The sequence below is a fragment of the Homo sapiens genome, chromosome 10 (assembly GCF_000001405.40).
Source record: "Homo sapiens chromosome 10, GRCh38.p14 Primary Assembly".
NCBI classification, from domain to species: domain Eukaryota; kingdom Metazoa; phylum Chordata; class Mammalia; order Primates; family Hominidae; genus Homo; species Homo sapiens.
The window spans coordinates 11,577,803-11,598,297 of record NC_000010.11 but is presented as its reverse complement, the minus strand read 5'-3'; the positions used below and the strand labels follow the sequence as shown (position 1 = coordinate 11,598,297).

Sequence of the window (20,495 nt, the reverse complement as noted above, 5' to 3'; positions counted from 1 at the left end):
CCCAAATGATTGGGTAGATGTAGGGGTTAGGGTAATATGTTATGAGAGAAGTTTACCTTATTGTTATTCTTTTTGTTTTTAAAACAATGAACCCATATTACTTTTATAATGAAGAAAATATTCATTGCTAGAGAAAGTCTATAGCAATAACTTTGCTGATCCTTATTTGAAGTCTTACATTAATCATTTATGTGCAGTCAAAATATACTCAGCAGGGATGATGTGGGCTGTATTTACCCTAGATGGAGTGCCTTCTACCTGTGATTTTCTTAGCTGGGAATGGGGAAGAAATGTTTTTAGTGTTGAAGACGAAGGACACCTGTTAGTAAGTTTCTATGTGGTGATTACTTACTACATATCACTTAAATTTGAAGTAACTTATTCCAAAAGAGGAAAACACGAATTCAACAGGATATTCTAAAAGTTGATTAATAATCTTTTATATTTAATAGGTGATCACAAGAGTTCTTTTTGGAAATAGTAGAATATTTTTGAAACAAAATGATTTTCTTTAAGAAAACTTTATTTTAAATATTGACCTCTAGAAAATACTATTTCTTTCTCTTTGTTTCCTGACTAGGACATGTATTCCTCTGAGAAACCTTGGACAGCAGATTTTGGTTTAATATCTGATTGGGACAACATTCAGACCCATTTCCAGTCATGAGTAAGTGCGCTGCTTCCTTTCCTTCCAGCCATCTCAGGAGCGTTTGCTGTATTGTGCTTAGGAGAAGAAAAACATGTTACTGAATAAATTGGAATTATGTCACTTATTCAGAGTTTGAATGTGGTTCCACCCAGCACTCTGCGCTTGTCTGTGTTAAGACAAGGAGATACTTTCTGATGTTTGATTTATTCTAAAAAGTTTCATGTGATGAGGAAATCTGGTCATTAGCTCTTTGGCTGATTTAGTTCTGTGATCTAAAATTTTCTATTGACTTGCCATTGGAAAACGGTTCTTCAGAAATATGAATAGGGAACATTGCAGTTGACCATAATTAGTAGAGATTTTATTGTGTGAAATTTAATCATTGAGTAACATGGGTTATATTGTATTTAAGGGAAAAAAAACCCCTAACAATCTATCAATGTCTCTGATAGAACAAAGAACCAAGGCTATCCTGGGCTTAACCACATTTGATAATTTTATCTTCTTAGTTGTAAGGGGATAGTATATGTAATATTTTCTCTCTATTCCTATATACTTCTGCTTGTGAACAAGAGAACTGGATTTTACTTTTTTGTGTTAACTGTTTCTTTTTAGAGGGTGGGAAAAGAATTGAGATTTTACCCTAACTGGGATTATATGGAGATTTGAAGTATAGATTTCCTGATTATGGAATCTTTGGGATGCAATGAGCATTTTCTTATTGGAAGATGATATTAGAGTTTAAATGTTTTTCACATAGTATTTGTATTGATTATATTTACCTTAATATGAAATAGGGCAGCTTTTCTCATCATCAGTTCAAATAATTAGGCAGTAGATAAGTGAAAATGACGCTGCTGTTGTAAAATATTGGAGTGCTTCTACTAAGAATAATATTGTAAGGAACGGTCTTTGATTTTTGACTTTTCAGTGGTATACTTTTTCGGTAGTGTACTTTGAAGAAACAAAGTTAGTGGCTAGATGAGTTCAGTACAGATTAAGAAAGAGTTTTTTTTTTTTTTTTTGAGACGGAGTCTCCCTCTGTCGCCCAGGCTGCAGTGCAGTGGCACCATCTCCGCTCACTGCAAGCTCCACCTCCTGGGTTCGCGCCATTCTCCTGCCTCAGCCTCCCGAGTAGCTGGGACTACAGGCGCCCGCCACCAGGCCCAGCTAATTTTTTTTTGTATTTTTAGTAGAGACGGGGTTTCACCGTGTTAGTCAGGATGGTCTCGATCTCCTGACCTTGTGATCCGCCCGCCTCAGCCTCCCAAAATGCTGGGATTACAGGCGTGAGCCACCGCGCCCGGCCAAGAAAGAGCTTTTGTTATTTCAGCTCCAATCATGACATTTTGTGAGAAAGTTTATCTAATGTAAAGTGCTAACTCTAGTGAAGATGGTAATTAGTTCACAAAAATTAAAAGAAATGGCAAGCATTTTAACTTAAAAACGCTTACATTTTTGGAAAGTGAAATAAATTTTCTTCTACTTTGCAATTTTTGGGTTCTGTTAGGATCAGTGTTGCAGATGTAAGTTTTTTTGACGGCAGGTAGCCTGTGCCTTTCATGTTTGAATTTCGGTGTTTGATGGTGTCTTGTATACTGCTTACCCTAGAAAACAAAGATCAAAGTCTTGCGAGGATGAAGGCAGAGGGGAGGAATGGCTTGCCAAGCAACTAATAGTGTTTGAACCACATAACATTTTTCACCTTTAAATTGTAATATTTATATTTCATTTGCAAGATTTTTAACTGGTTCTTTATATCCACTAATCCACTAATTCTTTTTCATGTCCACTTAAAACAATTGGTTCTGTTATTTTATCTCTTTGTGGATCTTTTACATGCTTATTTTAAAGTCTTTTTCAGATCATTTGATAATTTTAAAATTTTGTCTTCAGGGAATTTATGTTTTGATTGTTGATATTTTCATCATGTTCTGTAATTTGCAGGCACATTCTGATGGAAGTTTTTTTGCTCTTATGTCTCTCTCTTTCTTTTTGTGATTTTTGTTTTTTTCATGCTGGTCTAGCAGATTCATATTTGTCTCTGCCTGGCTTTGGAGTTCCCAGATCAGAATCAGGTCTGTGTTAGTGGGTCAGAGCCCTGGCCCCATGGTGACGTTGAGAACATCACAGATTCAGTCACTGAGTCAGCTGGCATTAGGTCAGCAACCTCTTATAAGCTGTAGCCTCAGCACAGTTAGTAGAAGCATTTTCAATCTAGTTTCATAATTAAGGAAAAGTGCCACCCCAGTCTCTGGCTTTAGGCACAGAGCCTGGCTCTTGACCCTGATTCCTAGGGAAAACTTTTATTTACAGTTTTCCCCATAGGACAAAACTTCCTGCTGCTCTGTCCTGCCCTGGGCCCAGAGTCCAGCTGACCTTGTGCCTTCAGTGTGCCTCACCCTTTATGTTCCTGTTAGATGTCTGATCTACAGAGATGTTTGGGGCATAGCTGTGCCATTTTAGTGACTTGTGCTTCTCTTTCACCTGTTATTTCTGTGTGTTTGTGTGAAGAAGGGGAAGCTACAGAGAAAGAACAATGCCATCGGGGACTTAACGCCTTACTTCCCACTTCAGATTCTTTTAAAAAAATCAGCTTCTGAGTAGTCTGCTAGTTCCTAGAGCCACTGCCTGTCACCCACACAGCACTCCAGTTGGGAGGTGAGCCCTGTGCGCTGCTTCTCCATAGCACTCTGCCTGCCTCCTTCTGGGACCCATCAAGCTGTATTCAAATCATCTGCTTATTTGCTTGTATGTTTCTCTAATCTGTGTGCTCCTTGAGGAGAAAAGATGATTTCATTCCTAGAGCCAAACACTGTTCCTGGCACTAAATAGGTGTTAAATAAATATTGCACTACCTTGGGTGTTTGTAAGTAATGTCCTTAGTATGCAGGAGCTATTCTGTGTTTTATTATTATTATTTTTAGGTGAAATGGGAGCTGTTGCCGTGAGAAGAGTGTATGTGTAGAGTGTGGCCCGAGACAAAGCATTCCAGGCTGGCGGAGCAATGTGAGAAAGGTGTGATGTTCTGACTCCACATAGGTGTTGCTAGTGAATTGAACATTCTGGACTCTAGAGATAGGAAGGGGGATTGTAAAGGTGGAGGAGACGAAATTGGGGTCCAGGTCATTTACATTCTAGGAAGTTTGGACTTGATCCTATAGGGCTTAAGGAGCTATTAAAGGATTTCAGTTAGAGAAGCAACTTAATGAGATTTCATTCTAGAAAAAATTACCCTGACAAACAGATATTTTGTTAGATGTCGGTTAAAAAGATTGGTTACACAGGCAGTATTCACCCTTTCTTGCCTTGTTTTCAGTTTTCAGTTCTTTCCAAGCTCCCTCTGAATCAGACTGAGTTACATTTCTTTTTCTTGTCCATTTGATGATTTTCTCTAGCGAAAGAAATTGTTCCTTAGTAGACTACTGTACCAAAGGTTAGGGAGTATTAGAGCGATCTGTCTTGTGCTGCAGTTTCTAGGGGGTTGTAAGTCTTCCAAATGGTCGTGATCAAGTGTGTCAGAGTTCTTGTTTTTGAGAAAAAAAAATTATGGATATGTGGTACAGGCTAAAAAATAGCAATATATGTCACTGAAGTTTAGATAGAATTTCCAAACTTAGATTTGGGTGGGAATGATGGCTTAGCTTTTTTCCCCCCCAATATTTTTCTGGAGATTAAAAGAAAGATTGGATATTTGTATATCTGGTTAGATTTATCTTTGCAGTGTTTCCCAGCCCTTTCCATGTTATCAAACGCTAGAACATGGTCATAGCTGTACATCACGTGGGATAAACTGAAGAAGCTGTTTAGAGCTTAGAGGCACCTGGCTCTAACGTCTCAGCCCAGGCAGCTAGGCGTGGCTCACTGCCATGGCACCCTCTTGGCACAGTAGTTGGAATGCCCCATCTAGAAGCTTTATAATGTTTTTCCGCTTTTATTCTGGTGGATATATAGGCTATCACGTTCTGAGGCTGAGTATCTATTTTGTGGAAAACGTACTGTATGATGCTGTTAGTATGATGTGCATTTCATTGTGGATTGTACTTTATTACAATCCACAAAAAGCCTTTTGATTTTTAGTACATAAATTGTTGTTTTTCTGTATTTGCATATTAACATTTATCACACTTGCCCATTTTGTTTTTCTCAGATGGAACCAAGGATTAAATTAAGTTGTTATACTCAAACTGTGGCTATGATTTAAAAGGAGCTCTCAGATCCATAATATAAATGGTCACAAGAGAAGTTTGTACACAAGGCACAAAATAGTGATTATTTTGGTAGAATATATTTTAAAAAAAACTAAGTGAAAACACCAAAACACAAAAGTAATTACAGTATTACTTAATTTCTTTTTCCAAAGCTTTAAGTAAAAACAAAAACTAAAAAACAAAAAAACACTTACTAGCTTATTTGCTCTGTTTTAAAATTTTAATGTTCTGTATTTTATTTCAGTTTCTTCAGGAAAGTTTTGCTCTGCAACTAATTACGTGATAGATTTCCTAAGAGTTTTTCTCTTCTGGCTGGGTAATCCAGGAGTGAATCTATGACACTGGAGTGTTTGATTCTGCCCTTTGTTCTAAATAATGAAATGAGTTTTTTGAGGTCATTTTTCGATATGAAATGTTTCTCATTCACCTGAGGAAGAATAATGGCAGTGAGTAATTTGGGGTGTAGTGTATTTGTGGTTTTCTAATAGTATAGGAGTAAAGACCTTCATTCACTGGAGCAGGGGACTAAGTGTTCATGCTGAAGTGAAGAACAATTTGTTTTAATATTTGTTAGAGCAGATAATGTTATAAATAAATGAATAGATTACTAAATCTCTCAGTGGTAGTAGAAGGATTCTTCAGAGTCTTACTAAGTAAAAAAGTTGTGCTCCAAGTAACAGAAGACTTCCCATAAGTACTGGCTAAAACTCTCTAGGACAGTAGCCTATCTAGATAGATAAACTGTTTTGTGGAATAGCTGCATGCTTCAGAAGTTGGGTAGAAGTTAAAAGAAAATTTAAGTTGAATTGTCTTTGAAATGCCAGCATGTCTGTTATTTAATGGAATCTTAAATCCCCTTACAAAGTATAACAGGTATCCTTTTGTTATATTAAGACTCATTTATGTTTGATAAATTTAGATTTGGGAATATAAAGTTCTAAATGTTATTCTTAAAATGAATATATAATCAGTGATTCTTAATGGAGGAGAGGAATTTGGAAATGTATGGAGACTTTGTGGCTGACAGTTACTGGGGGACCTGATGGCATCTAGTGGGCAGGGGCCACTGTCAGACCTGTGGCAGCCTTTAGCTGTAGTCAGTGGTGAAGAATGCCAGCAGAAATTGCTTCTCAGAAAATTTGTGTGATTACTTTCTTAGTTTAGTGTACTTCGTTGTTATTAACACTATTTAAAGTGGAATATACTGTGCTTTTAGCTAATTTATCTTCTTTTGACCACTTGCTGTAGAAAAGTGAGTAATTCTGAGGCCGAGTGTGGTGGCTCACGGCTGTAATGCCAATACTTTGGGAGGCTGAGGTGGCCAGATCACCTGAGGTCAGGAGTTCAAGACCAGCCTGGCCAACATGGTGAAACCCCGTCTCTACTAAAAATACTAAAAAATTAGCTGGGCATGGTGGTGGGTGCCGGTAATTTCAGCTACTCAGGAGGCTGAGGCAGGAGAATTGCTTGAACCCAGGAGGTGGAGGTTGCAGTGAGCTGAGATTGAGCCACTGCACTCCAGCCCAGGCGACAGAGTGAGACTGTCTCAAAAATAAAAAGAGTAATTCTTGGTTTGATACTATGGGAAATTAAATATGAATTTAATATAGTCTTATATATTTAAGTTAAAAATTTTTTGGGAGGTGGTTTACATTCTTTTCTTATATATTTTCTTTTGATATTTTTTCAAACTTACAACAAGAAAAGTTGTAAAAATAGTACCCCAAATTTCCATATACCTTTTGGTGAGATTTATCAAATATTTACATTTTGTCCATTTGATTCTCCCTCTCCCTTTCCCTCTCTCACACACACCTCTATCTAGAAAAGAAATTGAAATGTTTAAACAAAACATTTTCTGTGAAAGTCTGTTTTCCTTTTATTTGGTGATTTAATTTTTTGCATAAATGTAAATTACTATAGTAGTATAAGCTTAGTAAAGCTTCTGAATTATTTTTACTAGTTAAATCTTAAAATTTCAAATTATATACCTACTATTATATTTTTATTCTTCAAAAGCTATATTTATCTAGTTTTTATAGACCTGTTATTAAACGTTTTCTTTTAGATCTACAACGTATTGCATAATATAGATAAATTTTATATGTAAATCAACTTTAATGAAATTTTTTTAGTACAACACAAACCAGTGTGCTCCAAATGACTTCTTTATAATAGTTTCAAGAGACTCTCCATTCTTAAGAGAACTATTTCGAATTCCATTCTGAAAGCAGTAAGTTTTCCAGTGGCTGGCCTCTTTATGTTCCCAGAGTCCCAGAGACTTGAGGTGGAACCCTGGCTTTGCTGCTGGTAGCCACGTTATGTATGGCAAGTGGCTTGACTTCTTTAACCCCCTCCCCACACATCCTTTACTCATTCGTAAATGTAGGCACTAGATAGATCATCTGGACGCCTTCTAACTCTTAAAATTTACTGTTAAGTCAGTGAGAAAATTTTCATTTCTAATTTTGTCTTATAGGAGTACATCTATTGGGTAAAACAAGGAATTCCTGTATTAGTTATGAAATATGCTACATTACAGGAAACACAGTTTTCAGGGTTTGGGGGCCTACTGTGTTGCTCAGAGTCTGATTTTCCAAAGTACCATGATTCCAAATGCAGGTGCGTGTTCTCCGCGTCCTTCTGCTTGTTCTCCTGGCAGCCAGAGTTCAGAGGGGAATTATGTTTCAAATTAATCCTCTTAAATATTCGTCTTGTTATCTCTTTCATTAGTTTTAGAAAATAGAGTTTGATTTTTACAGTTTTCTTCTTGAATCTGTGTTATTAGAGTTGATGTACTGGTTGGAAAAAAATCTGTATCTCTTTTACATTAACTTCTCCAAAACTGGATTTCTATATGAAAATATTATGTGTATGATTTTTAGTATTTTTTATTTGTGAAAAGATGTAGTGGAAAGCACCGCTTAGTAACTGAGATTTGTTACATGGTCTGAATAAAATTCCACATAAGTAACATCCAGTTTTTACAATAGTATCTGGACAGCTATATATTTTCATTTTTTTGCATTGAACACAAATAGATGTCTTCTACTAAGGGAATTTGTGGCTATCAGTGTATGTGATGGGTGCCATTGTACAGAAATCTCATTTCCTGTAGTGTGAAATTGATATTAGAAATTTTCAAGCCTCTGTCTTTCTTCCTCAGAATTGATCTAAAATAGTATTTTGGTGTGACTTTTTTTTGGAGATAGGCAGGGTGACTGTGAAAGTAATTCTTTTCAGCTTCTCTTTAAAGCTACGGGTTAGAAAGGTCGGACATAGAGTGAAAATGTCTTCCCTTATCCCAGTCTCCCACTCCTACTTTTAAGCACTGAGCCATAAATTAATTCTTTTTTAAAACTGAAATGCACTGTATGTTTGTATCATGAATGTGGCCCAGAAGTTAGGAGGTCAGGTGAAAATGAAAACTTCTCCTATGGGTTATTCTTATTCATGTTCAGAGATAATGGCCGTTGTGCAGGCAGTTGGTAGTAGAGTGCTGTCTTTTCCCTCTGAATTTAGAAACTGACTTCCCCTGGCATTGCCTTGGTACCCTGGAGCGGCACCGGTTTGATTTTGTTCTCACACATTGGTAGCATTCAGGTGTTAAGCTTTAAACAATAAAATATAAAAAGATTATAGTCAGACACTAATAGATATTCATTAACATTTATATTGTGGGGCATTTGGCGTCACAATGTCTTTTTAAAAATACAGTTGCCTGTTTTAGATGTTAGAAGAGTGGAATAGAAATGGAATTTATAGGATGCCTTAGTAAAGGTTTGAACACTACAGTAAAGCACTGTGTTTGATCTCTTCACTGGTGAACCTAGTTATGTTCTAGTACTTGCAAGGTAAGGGAGAATATATTTGCTTGATTATAACTTGAGAGAAATTTGTAAAAGCTAACATGTATATATGTATTAAGTTTTTATGTAAATTATAATAGTTGGTCTTTGTATTTTCCTTTGGTAACAATTTTATATTATTGTCTTTCTATGATATGTAGATGTAGGTCATGTGTGAAGTGTTCTGGATTAGGGGAGGAGGAACCAGCTATTACCAGTGTTGGAAGAGCATTGCAAACTGTTTACTTTTGACAATTATGGTACAGCAGATATTGAATTTAATTTTCAAACCTGCTTAAATTTGTTGTTTTAACTAATATAACAGAAATTTACATGCTAAGTGGTTAATTCAGACCACTATAATGTGACTAGTAGGATGTATTTTGTTGGCATGCTTTATTATAAAAAACGTTTCTGCTGACAGATGTGACCTAGAAGCTATATAAAGCAGGTTGCCTTACTGCTAAGGGGAAACCTTTACTGCTGTTAGAGTCTCTCTTCTGGATAAGGAAAGGCGCTTCTCCATTGCCATTATCTTATCCGGGTTTCCATACATGGGGGCAATAGGGCCATTGTGGTTTTTAAAATAATCAGTGTTAGTGAGACCTTGTATGGAAACTTTGTACTTTTGGTATATTGTATACATCTATATATGGGGGACTTTGCACAGAACAGGAGAAAAACTCTACTTCTACTATCTGGATATCCAAACTGACTGTTAAAAGGAATTTGGTTCTCACATGATTCCTTAGCAGTATCTCTGTGCTTAAAAATAAAAGCTACTTAAAAATGTTTGATTTGTATTATAAAAATGGAGTTATTACTCTTTTCCCTGACAATGTGATATAAAAGTTGTTAGACACTAGAAATTTTATTCTAACTGAAAAGATAAGCTTTTCTAGCTCAGTGCTGGCTGCATTCTGATGGAATATAACAATGTCTAGATCTACAAAGTTTTCCTTCATTATTTTTTTTCTTTCATTAGTGTGTGTCTCTTCTCAGCAGATGAAATTCTTACATCTACTCCTTGCCAACCAGTCCAACTTTATTTTTTCAGTGGGATCAATTATTTATTTTAAAATATTATTTCTGAAAATCTATTTTTAAAATATCACTGATTTATTTTTGAACAATTTGAGAGTAGGTTGCATGTATCATGCTCCTTTTCCCATATGTACCTCAGTGTATGGTTCCGAAAAACAACGCCATTCTTTTGCATAACCACGGTAAAATAATCACATAGATAGATTAGACTTATCTAATATATGATCCTTATTCCAGTGTTGATAGTTTCCCCAATGATGTGCTTTACAGCATTTTGCTCCTCCAGTACAGGATTCAGCTGAGTGTTATTCACACATTGCCTTTTGTCATCCAGTCTCTTTACTCTCCTCCAATCTGGAATAGTTCCTCAGATTTTCTTTACCTTTTGTGATATTGATGTTTTTGAAGACAACAGACCAGCTGTTTTATAGACTATTCCTCAGATGATGGATGATGGAGGGTTCCTGTAATGGGATCTGACCTAACAGGTGTGACTGGTTAGGGGACATTCTGTCAGGAAGCCTGCCTTCAAGAGAAAGGAAGACTGCCTGGTGATCTCTAGATTTCCTTCACGTTTAGCTGTTTAGTAGAAAATTCCCCATTTCTACTTGAATTGAAATAGGATTCAAATCTCTTGCATAAGTACAGGATTTATTGTTCTGCTTTACTAGTTTCTATTTTACTTTTATTACAAAGTCTTGAGAAAAAATTGACAATGAAATATTTTCTAGAATATGAGATGGCGTTGAAATGAGACGGCTTTTGGCTTTTATCGAGAGATCCCTTTTAGTAGAATTCCTGTTCTGAATTATCTTGATAAAAATCTCAAGATGCTACTGAACAAATGCTATGAAGGTATAAAGTATAGCAGTATTGAATCGAATTATTTTATAATAATAAAACAGCTATAGCTATTTGTACATAAATTGAGATTGCTTCACTAAAGATTAGCTGTTCTCATAACCTGGTGCCTCTTTGTCCTGATACATTTTCTTTAGCCAAAAATAGAATAAATGGACATTTTAAGACTCTGATTCTGATTAGGCTGTAGAGATTTATGGGTCATATTAGATTTTAATATGAAATGTCAGGATACTTATCATCTTATAGTATGACTGTTAAAAGTTTAATAATTGCAAGGGATAGTGAAAGCTAGAAGATTAACTTGGAATATTGCAAAGGATAGGAAATTCAAATTCAAAGTTAGACAACTTTGAGACACATGATACTATAAATTAATTTCTTAAAATATTTTAGGGGTCATGGTGTTTGAATCTTCGATTTTAAAACAAGTTTTAAGGGAGAGAATTGTAATTTTGAATAAATAATAATTGTTTTAATTTTAGTATAAACAGATACTTAATGAGCCCCTACATATGTACTGTTTCTGTGGTGGTCTTAGATGATACAGCCAAGAACAAGACAGACATGACCCTTGGCCTTGTAGATCATGGAACTGGTGGGAAAGCCAGACATTGAGCCAGTAGTACGGTCTTAGTACCAAAAGGGACATCCAGGGAGTCCTTGCTCCTGCAGGAGCAAGGGAATCTGTCCTCACAGGGAGGTTGGGAGGACCACTTTAAGGAAACCTTCCAGCTGAGACCTAGTGAAGAGGAAGAGGAGAGTGTTCTAAACAGAAGGAACAACGTATGTGAAGACCCAGCATTGAGAGATCGAGACTGACATTAAGAAATTAGGGAAAGCTTGGTATTGGGAGAATAGGTGGGTTAGAGAAGATTTTAAGTTTAGTTTAGGCAAGTACTCCCCTCTTGCCTCTATTTATACTTTTATCTAATTTCATTTAAACTAATCGATTTTCTTCATTTTCCACAACCCCCTTTTCTTGTTGTTAACCACAACATTAAAATAAATATATTTTGAAAATGGGGGAAAAATATTACTGGTAACCTCACTATGTTAAAGAAGCCATTTACATTTCTGCCTATGATCTTCTAGAATTGTTTAGATACTATATATTTTTATATAATCACATTAATAGTGTATATGCAATTTTATGTTTGGATTTCTAACATTAATTGTATTTAAAACAGATTTCAGTAATTGTTTTCATGGTTAGAATTCACAATTGTGTTCCTTAAAGGTAATGACTCATCATAACTTACTTAACCATTTCCTTTTTTTTTTTTTTTGGTCATTTAAGATGGCTCAGTTTTTTTTTGGTCATTTAAGATGGCTCAGTTTTTTTGGTCATTTAAGATGGCTCAGTTTTTTCATTAAACTGGAATTCCATAGACTAGATTTATAATGTTGAGCTTTTTATGCCTAATTATTTTGCCTTTCTGGAAAAGATTGCACCCATTTACATTTGCTCTGGTAATTGTGTACAAGGATATCAGTTTCACCATCACTAGCCTAGTAGGCTCAAAATGACATCATATAGTTGCTATCTGTTGTATTATTTGATTTCTAGACAGGATAACTTAAAAAATTATGGTAAAGTACACAGACCATTTACCATCTTAGCCATTTTTTAAGTGTGTAGTTCAGTAGTGTTAAGTACATTAATATTGTTGTGCAACCTTAATCTCTTCACCTCTTTTCATTTTGAAAAACTGGAGGCTCTGTACCCATTAAACACTAATGCTCTGTTTCTTCCTCTTCCCGGCCTCTGACCTCTAGGTACCTCATGTAAGTGGAATCATTCAGTATTTGTATTTTTGTAACTGGTTTAACTCAGCACAATGTATTTAAGGTCCATCCATATTGTAGCATGGGTCAGAATCACCTTCCTTTTTAAGGCTGAATAATATTCCCTTGTATATATAGACCATATTTTGTTTATCCATTCTTCTGTCAGTGGACACTTGGGTTGCTTCCACCTTTTTAAATTTTTATTCAATTTAATTTAATTTATTTATTTTTGAGATGGAGTCTCACTCTGTTTCCCAGGCTGGAGTGCAGTGTCCTTGATCACGGCTCACTGAAAGCTCCGCATCCCGGGTTCGCGCCATTCCCGTTCCTCAGCCTCCCGAGTAGCTGGGAGTACAGGTGCCCGCCACCACGCCCAGCTAATTTTTTGTATTTTTAGTAGACACGGGGTTTCACTGTGTTAGCCAGGATGGTCTCAATCTCCTGACCTCGTGCTTCCACCTTTTGGCTGTTGCGAATTATGCTGCTGTGAACCATGGGTGTACAAATACATCTTTGGAACCCTGCTTTCAATTCTTCTGGGTCTGTACCAAGAAGTGGAATTGCTGGATCATACTGTAATTCTTTTTTTTAATTTTGCAAGGAACTGCCATACTGTTTTCCATAGTGGTTGCACCGGCTTACATTGCTCAAGGATTCCATTTTCTCCATATCCTCCTAGCCCTTATTATTTTCTGTTTCGTTGGTAGTAGCCATCCTAGTGAGGTGCTATTTCCTTGTTAGACAAGATAACTTTTTCATGGACTCACTGTTTACATTTTCTCTTGCATCATATCATTCTAAAACAGTCTTTTCTCCCAAAATGATTATGGAAAAATCACAGATTTTAACTTTGAATGCTCCTTTTGCACCTTCCAAAAATTTATTATGAAGCAGTGTAGCTTTTATATATTTATTGGAGTTTCATATGGTTTTTTGTTTGTTTCTTTGTTTTTTTGAGACAGGGGTCTTGCTCTGTCAACTAGGCTGGAGTGCAGTGGCATGATCTCGGCTCACTACAGTCTCTGCCTCCCTGGCTCAAGTGATTCTCCCACCTCAGCCTCTCATGTAGCTGGGACTACAGGTGTGCTCCACCACGCCTGGCCAATTTTTGTATTTTTCTGTAGAGATGGGGTTTTGCCATGTTGACCAGGCTGGTTTTGAACTCCTGGGCTCGAGTGATCTGCCTGCCTCGGCCTCCCAGAATGCTGGGATTACAGTTTGTGAGCTACTGTGCCCAGCCTCATATAGTTTTATTTTGAGACATGTACCATTTTGTGATGGTCAGAGGAGAGATAATGCATAGTATACCGAAAAGGCAGAAGTAGTAAAAGGTTTCAGAAAGGGGGGAAGAGTGGAGAATAGTAAGTACCAAAGATGAGTTTGGCCTAAGGTACTATTCTTTCAGGGACACTGTTGGCAGTCTTCCATCACTGTTGTAATTAATGTGTTATGGTGATTACAGATTTCATACTGGGGGAATCTCTACAAAAATCTCTCTGAATGTTAGAGGGACGTCTGTGTTTATATACCCAAGTGCTTTTGTGAATTCTTTGGCAATATGTTTGTCTTTATGTGTTTTATGTGTATGTGCACTTATGAACCTTTTATCTTAAATGTGATGTTACGTTGAATTAACATTTATTCCAAGGCTATACACACAGAGCTAAATGCTTTGGTTTGGGAACAGGGTCTTGCTCTGTCACCCAGGCTGGAGTGCAGTAGTGTAGTCTTGGCTCACTGAAATTCTTCCTGGGCTCAAGTGATGATTCTCCCACCTCAGCCTCCTGAATAGCTGGGACTACAGGCACACGCCACCACACCCAGCTAATTTTGTGTTAAATGCCTTTTTTTCCTTTTCTTTTTTTGAGACAGAGTCTCGCTGTGTCGCCCAGGCTGGAGTGCAGTGACGTGATCTCGCCTCACTGCAACCTCTGACTCCTGGGTTCAAGCGATTCTCCTGCCTCAGCCTCTGAAGTAGCCGGGACCACAGGCACCCTCCACCACACTTGGCTGATTTTTGTATTTTTAGTAGTTTTCAGGGTTTTGCCACGTTGGCCAGGCTGGTCTTGAGCTCCTGACCTCAGGTGATCTGTCCGCCTCAGCCTCCCAAAGTACTGGGATTACAGGCATGAGTCACTGTGCCTGGCCAATAACGAATTTTTTAAAAACTAATAATGTTATTTGATAGCTTTGTTGGAATCTAGAGTAGGTCCAGGTTGGTTGAATGCTCTGTTTTCTTGAATTTTTGATTTTGAAAATGAAGTCATATTTAAATTTCCTTATTATGACTAAATCTCTTTTCTTCCATATTTGTGTGTCCATTTGCATGTGGCTTTGCAAAGTTAAAAGAGAAGTCAGTTCTACACAATGGGAGAGACTTCCTTAAAAAATTGAAAATGTAGTAGCCGGGCGCGGTGGCTCACGCCTGTAATCCCAGCACTTTGGGAGGCTGAGGTGGGTGGATCCTGAGGTCAGGAGATTGAGACCATCCTGGCTAACACGGTGAAACCCCGTCCCTACTAAAAATACAAAAAAAAATTTAGCCGGCCACAGTGGCGGGCTCTTGTAGTCCCAGCTACTCGGGAGACTGAGGCGGAGAATGGCGTGAACCCGGGAGGCGGAGCTTGCAGTGAGCAGAGATGGTGCCACTGCACTCCAGCCTGGGCGACAGAGCGAGACTCCGTCTCAGGGAAAAAAAAAAAAAAAAAATTGAAAACATAATAATATGTAAATTAGAGTATGTTCAGTTATAGTATATTATGTACAGCTTTTAATTCACACTCTTTTTCCATGTAAGGACACAACTCTCCTGTCATCCTTTATTTGCAAGAATCATCTCAATTGTAATTTAATCATTAATTTTGTAATTATTTATTTAATGCTGGTTTATCTTTGTAGAATGGAAGGAGGTTGATTACCCCTGTAAAACAGCAATTCGCATGGTACCTCTTACATACTAGATACATAAGAAATCTTATATGAATGAACAGGATTTTATTGCCTTTAGAATACACTCTGTACAGTCAGTAGATTAAGAATTTCTCATTGTTGTGAAGATAAATTGGAATAATATATTTTTATTTCCCGTGTTTGTGAAGCTTTGTATGTGTTTATGATAGTGTCCACTGAGCTACAGAGTTGAGAAGCTTCTTGCCTGCTCTTTATAAGCAAAATGAATTATCATTTGATAAAATATTTTCAAAGACTGATTTTCAAAGAATTGCTAACTTAATTCTGTTAATACAAATACTTCTGTTCATAAACAATTACTATCATATAATCTGCTTTGAAATTATATGAGAGAAGGATAATGTTGTCATCCATAAACACATATTCTGTGGCTCTTTCCACATCTGACAATTTCAAGTTGTCAATGAATTTTTATTTTTTGTAGTAATGTGCTGTAATTTATATTGTAGAAGTTTGTAGAGGTTGATTTTCTACATTCTAGAATGAAGTGACTATATTTTTCCTCCTTTAAAACTTAAGTAGAGGCTGGGCACCGTGGCTCACGCCTGTAATTCCAGTAATTTGGGAGACTGAGGCGGGCGGATCACCTGAGGTCCAGAGTTCGAGACTAACCTGGCCAACATGGCAAAACCCTGTCTCTACTAAAAATAAAAAAATTGGCTGGGCGTGGTTGCTTACGCCTGTAATCCCAGCACTTTGGGAGGCCCAGTTGGGCAGATCGCCTGAGGTCAGGAGTTTGACACCAGCCTGCCCAACATGGCGAAACCCCGTCTCTACTAAAAATACAAAAAGTTAGCCAGGTGCGGTGGCAGGCACCTGTAATTCCAGCTACTCGGGAGGCTGTGGCAGGAGAATCGCTTGAAGCCGGGAGGTGGAGGTTGCAGTGAGCCGAGATCACGCCACAGCACTCCAGCCTGGGAGACAAGAGCGAAACTCCGTCTCAAAAACAACAACAACCACCACCACCACCACCGCCACCAAAAATTAGCCCGGCGTGGTGGTGGGCACCTGTAATTCCAGCTACTGGGGAGGCTGAGGCAGGGAGAATCATGTGAACCTGGGAAGCAAAGGTTGCATGAGCTGAGATCGAGCCACCACACTCCAGCCTGGGCGACAGAATGAGACTCCGTCTCAAAAACAAGCAAACAAACAAAAACCAAGCTTAAGTAGAATGACAAAGAAATGAAGGAAATGAAGTCTATTAACTGATTTCTTAACCCAAAAAAGAGAGAAGAGTTAGAAATGGTTTATAGTTTAATATCCTACAGTCTCTTTATATTTTCAGGCCAGTGGACATCTTGAATATTTACAGATTATGTTTGTCACAATAAAATCATCTCTCACATTTTTTTCATCTCATTTATCTACATGTTCTGAAAAGGATGACAGTAGTTCAATTCTGAAATGTATTTCCAGGAAAGCCAAAAAAGTTTTCTGAAAAGTGGGTTAAAAAAAGTCTGAATCATTGCCAAGAATGAAAAGATGCTGGGTTGTTATTCGTATGATCAAAAGAATTTGTAGGCTTAGAGCAGAGTCCAAATATTCTTGTCTGTGTTTTTTGCATAAAAGTGATGTTGATGACACATATGAAAGTGTGAAAACACGTTAGTTCCAAAAGAATATGCATAATAGTACCTCACTTTTGTAAAATCAGTAACAAAAAGTACAAAGTAAGTCTAAAAGATTGTCAGTAGTGCTTATCTCTGTATGTGGGACCTAAGACAGATTTTTATTTTCTTTTGGCTTAGTGTTAGATTCTTATTTTTCTATAGTGAACATTCATTATTATTATAATAATAAGAAAAACTATTAGAGATGTGTATTGACAAAAAGAAGAAAATAGAGACCTATTAGTTTGTAATTCTTTAAGAGTCTAGGGTGTTGGTTTGAATTACTTATAACATTATTTGCTCTGAATAATAGTATAATTTTGCTTTAGAATTATACCAGTACTCTTGTACTTTTTATATTTAGGGCCAAACAAGATTTTGATATTTTTCCTTTGTGTGCCTCCCCCATCCATCCATCCATCCATCCATCCATCCATCCATCCATCATCTATCCGTTCGTCATTCATCCATTCATTCCTCCATCAATCCATCCATCCAACGAGTGAAATCATGATATTTTATACCTTTCATGTTTACATAGTCATTTATAGTTAGCTTTTCCTATGTCATTCTTCTAGAATGGTGGTTCTGAACCATGGCTGAAGGTTAGGATCATTTAGGGGAGCTTTTAAACTTTGTGGTGCCCAGGCTGCACCCTAGGACAATGAAGTCACAGTCCCTGTGGATGGGTTCAGCCATCAGTCCTTTGAAACTCCCCAGGTGATTTCACTGCAGATTGACAATCACTTGTCTAGAATGCAATTTTTTTAATGCCGTCTAGTATTCCATGGTGTACACTCACTGAAACTTTATTAAGTTCTTGTTGTCGGACATTTCGATTATTTCCCATTTTTTTTGCAATTATAAATAATACACATTGCAAACATCCTTGTAGCTAAATTTGTGTGCATGACTATATTTGTTAATATAAAATTACTGTCATAATATTACTGTTCAGATAGTATGCAAAAGGCTAAGGCTTTTGATTCTTTCTGCCAAAATGGAGATCATGATTTTGATTTATCTAATTAGGAAATTTTTAGAAATTATATTGTTTAATTATTGATATACCCAAATCTTTATTAAATAACAACTAATGAGTCTAAAGCTATAATAGGAAAGCTTCAGATGTTACTCAGGACAAGGTCACCATCCATGAGGGACATGGTCTGGGGCAGGGTTTGTCAACTCATCACTATTGACTTTTGGGGCTAGATAATTCTCGTGGAGGCTGTTACGTAAATTGTAGGATGTTAACCGGCATCTTTGGGTCTATGCACTAGATGCCATAGTACCCCACCTCCTGTTGTGACTATCAAAAGTGTCTTTAGACGTTGCTGCCCCCCCCCCGCCACTCTCCACTGGTGGTTTGTAATCTGCAAACTACAGCCTATGGGTCATATTTGGACGCACATTCATGTGTGTATTGTCTGTGTATTGTACAATAGAGTTGAGTAGTTACAACAGTGACCACATGGCTCACAAAATAGAAAACATTTACTATCTAGCTTTTATAGAAAATGTTTGCAGACTGTAGATCTAGTCTATCTCCCCCATGAGGGACATGGTCTGGGGCAGGAAAATAACTTGTGAATAGCTAAAATTCACTGGGATAAGCGTTCTGATAGATTTAGGTATGTATAGGGTGTTGTAGGTATGGGGAGAGAGGGAACAGCTAATTAATGCCCTGATAAGATTGGGAAGACCTCTTTAAGGAGATAACAAAAATTAGGTCTTGAAAATCTGAGTAGAGAAAATGGGGAAGTTCCTGTAGGCAGGGTGCATGGAATATACAAAGGCAATGGTGTTGTATTCAGGGAATGGAGGAAAGTGTCATGTGCGCACTGCATGTAATTGAAGTAGTACTGGCAAGAAACTTCAGGAATCGTGTCTGCAGTGATAGATGGGGACTATCTTATTAATGAGGCCACACTCTATGCTAAGGAATTTAAACTTATCTGTGTGCAAATGGAAAGCCATTAATGTTTTTAGACAGGGAAGTGATTATCAATTTGTGGTTTGAAAGATTTTTCCATATGGTATTCTGATGTTACATTGCCTGGTTCCTGATTCTGTATTGCAACCTGCCCTGTCAACTCAAAATTGGTTTTGGTGCTACTTTGCCACTTAGCACATTCTTCTTGGTTATGAGTGTCTTAAGTCTCTAATTCCCAGTGCCTACCTAGCACATAGTAAATGCTCAATGAATGCTTGTTGAATGAATGTAAGTATTACTTACAGGATCTTCAAACTTTTTTTCCCCCTGCATCCAGTGTTGTGCTGGTAAATGTTTAACAACCAGCTACTGGGGAGTGTGGGAGGGGGAAAACCCCGATTGTAGTGTTTGCTAATTTCTGTGGTATAAAAACACCCACCACAGTCAATTTTAAAACTTCAAGCTACCAGCAAGCTGATATAAACGAGATGTGGCACATCACTGCATGTACCTAGCAAGTACCTAGTAAAATGACATAAACTGATCCCTCAGGTTTTTAAGTTGAAATAGAAAGGTTTTTATTGTAGCTTTTAAATTCTGTAGTTATAAAGGATGATATTTTCATATATTGTATTGACATTTAAAAATAACATTCTCAAATCACTGTTCTAAATCAGGAATGGAAGGGGATTTCCCTAACCTGATGAAGGGTGTCTATATCTGAATTCTTTAAAAATTTTAAAAAATAATTTTGATTTATTTTTTTTAGAGATAGAGTCTCACTCTGTTGCCCAGGCTAGAGGTGGAGTGCAGTGGTGCAATCATAGCTCATTGCAGCCTCAAACTCCTGGGCTCAAGGGATCCTTCCGCCTTTGCCTCTTGAGTAGCCTGATAGAGTATCTATAAAAGGCTTAAAGCAAGCATCATCTTAAATTGGAAAATGTTGAAAGCATCCCTTTAAAATTAAAAAAGTAGAAAAGTATGCCGGTTAGAACCACTTCTATTAAAGATTGTATTGATGGTCTTAGCCAGTGCAGTAAAACAAGAAAAATGGATTAGAAGTATAAGGATTGGAAGGAGGAAATGAATTGTTCATAAATTACAGATGAGGTTGGGTGTGGTGGCTCATGCTTATAATCCCAGCTCTTTGGGAGGCTGAGGCGGGCGGATTGCTTGAGCTCAGGAGTTCCAGACCAGCCTCGGCAACATAGTGAAACCCTGTCTCCATAAAGAATATAAAAAATTAGCTATGCATGGTGGCACACCCTGAGTAGCTGGTGGTCCCAGCTACTTGGGAGGCTGAGGTGGGAGGATCACTTGAGCCTGGGAGGCAGAGGTTGCAGTGAGGATTGTGCCACGGCACTCCAGCCTGAACGACAGAGTGAGACTCTGTCTCAGAAAAAGAAAATAACATCACCTGTATAATAACATCACCTGTATTTTTTTTTCTTTTATTAGGTAGAGAAAACCAGAAGAATTTACACATAAATTGTTAGAAATAAGGAAGATGTTAACAATGTAGCTACAGGTACTAAGGTACAAGGCCAGGCACAGTGGCTCACGCCTGTAATCTCA

The 20,495-nt window shown here is 37.4% G+C and overlaps 1 protein-coding gene across 10 annotated transcripts in view; it reads left to right on the top strand.

Annotated features, from left to right (window-relative positions):
- Window positions 1–20,495, top strand: part of USP6NL (USP6 N-terminal like) — a 151,141-nt gene that overhangs the window by 13,353 nt on the left and 117,293 nt on the right. For 8 of the 10 annotated variants that reach the window (NR_125732.2, NM_001391960.1, NM_001391961.1 and 5 more), the window contains one exon: window positions 581–667. The exons of 1 other annotated variant lie outside the window; for it this stretch is intronic. Coding sequence is in view for 7 of the 9 variants with exons in the window: in NM_001391961.1 (NP_001378890.1) it covers window positions 664–667 (4 nt within the window). In the remaining 2 variants the exon portion in view is untranslated. Of the gene's footprint in view, window positions 1–580; window positions 668–3,576; window positions 3,668–20,495 lie in introns of all 10 variants that reach the window. One more of the 10 variants, XM_017016971.2, reaches the window with a different exon arrangement.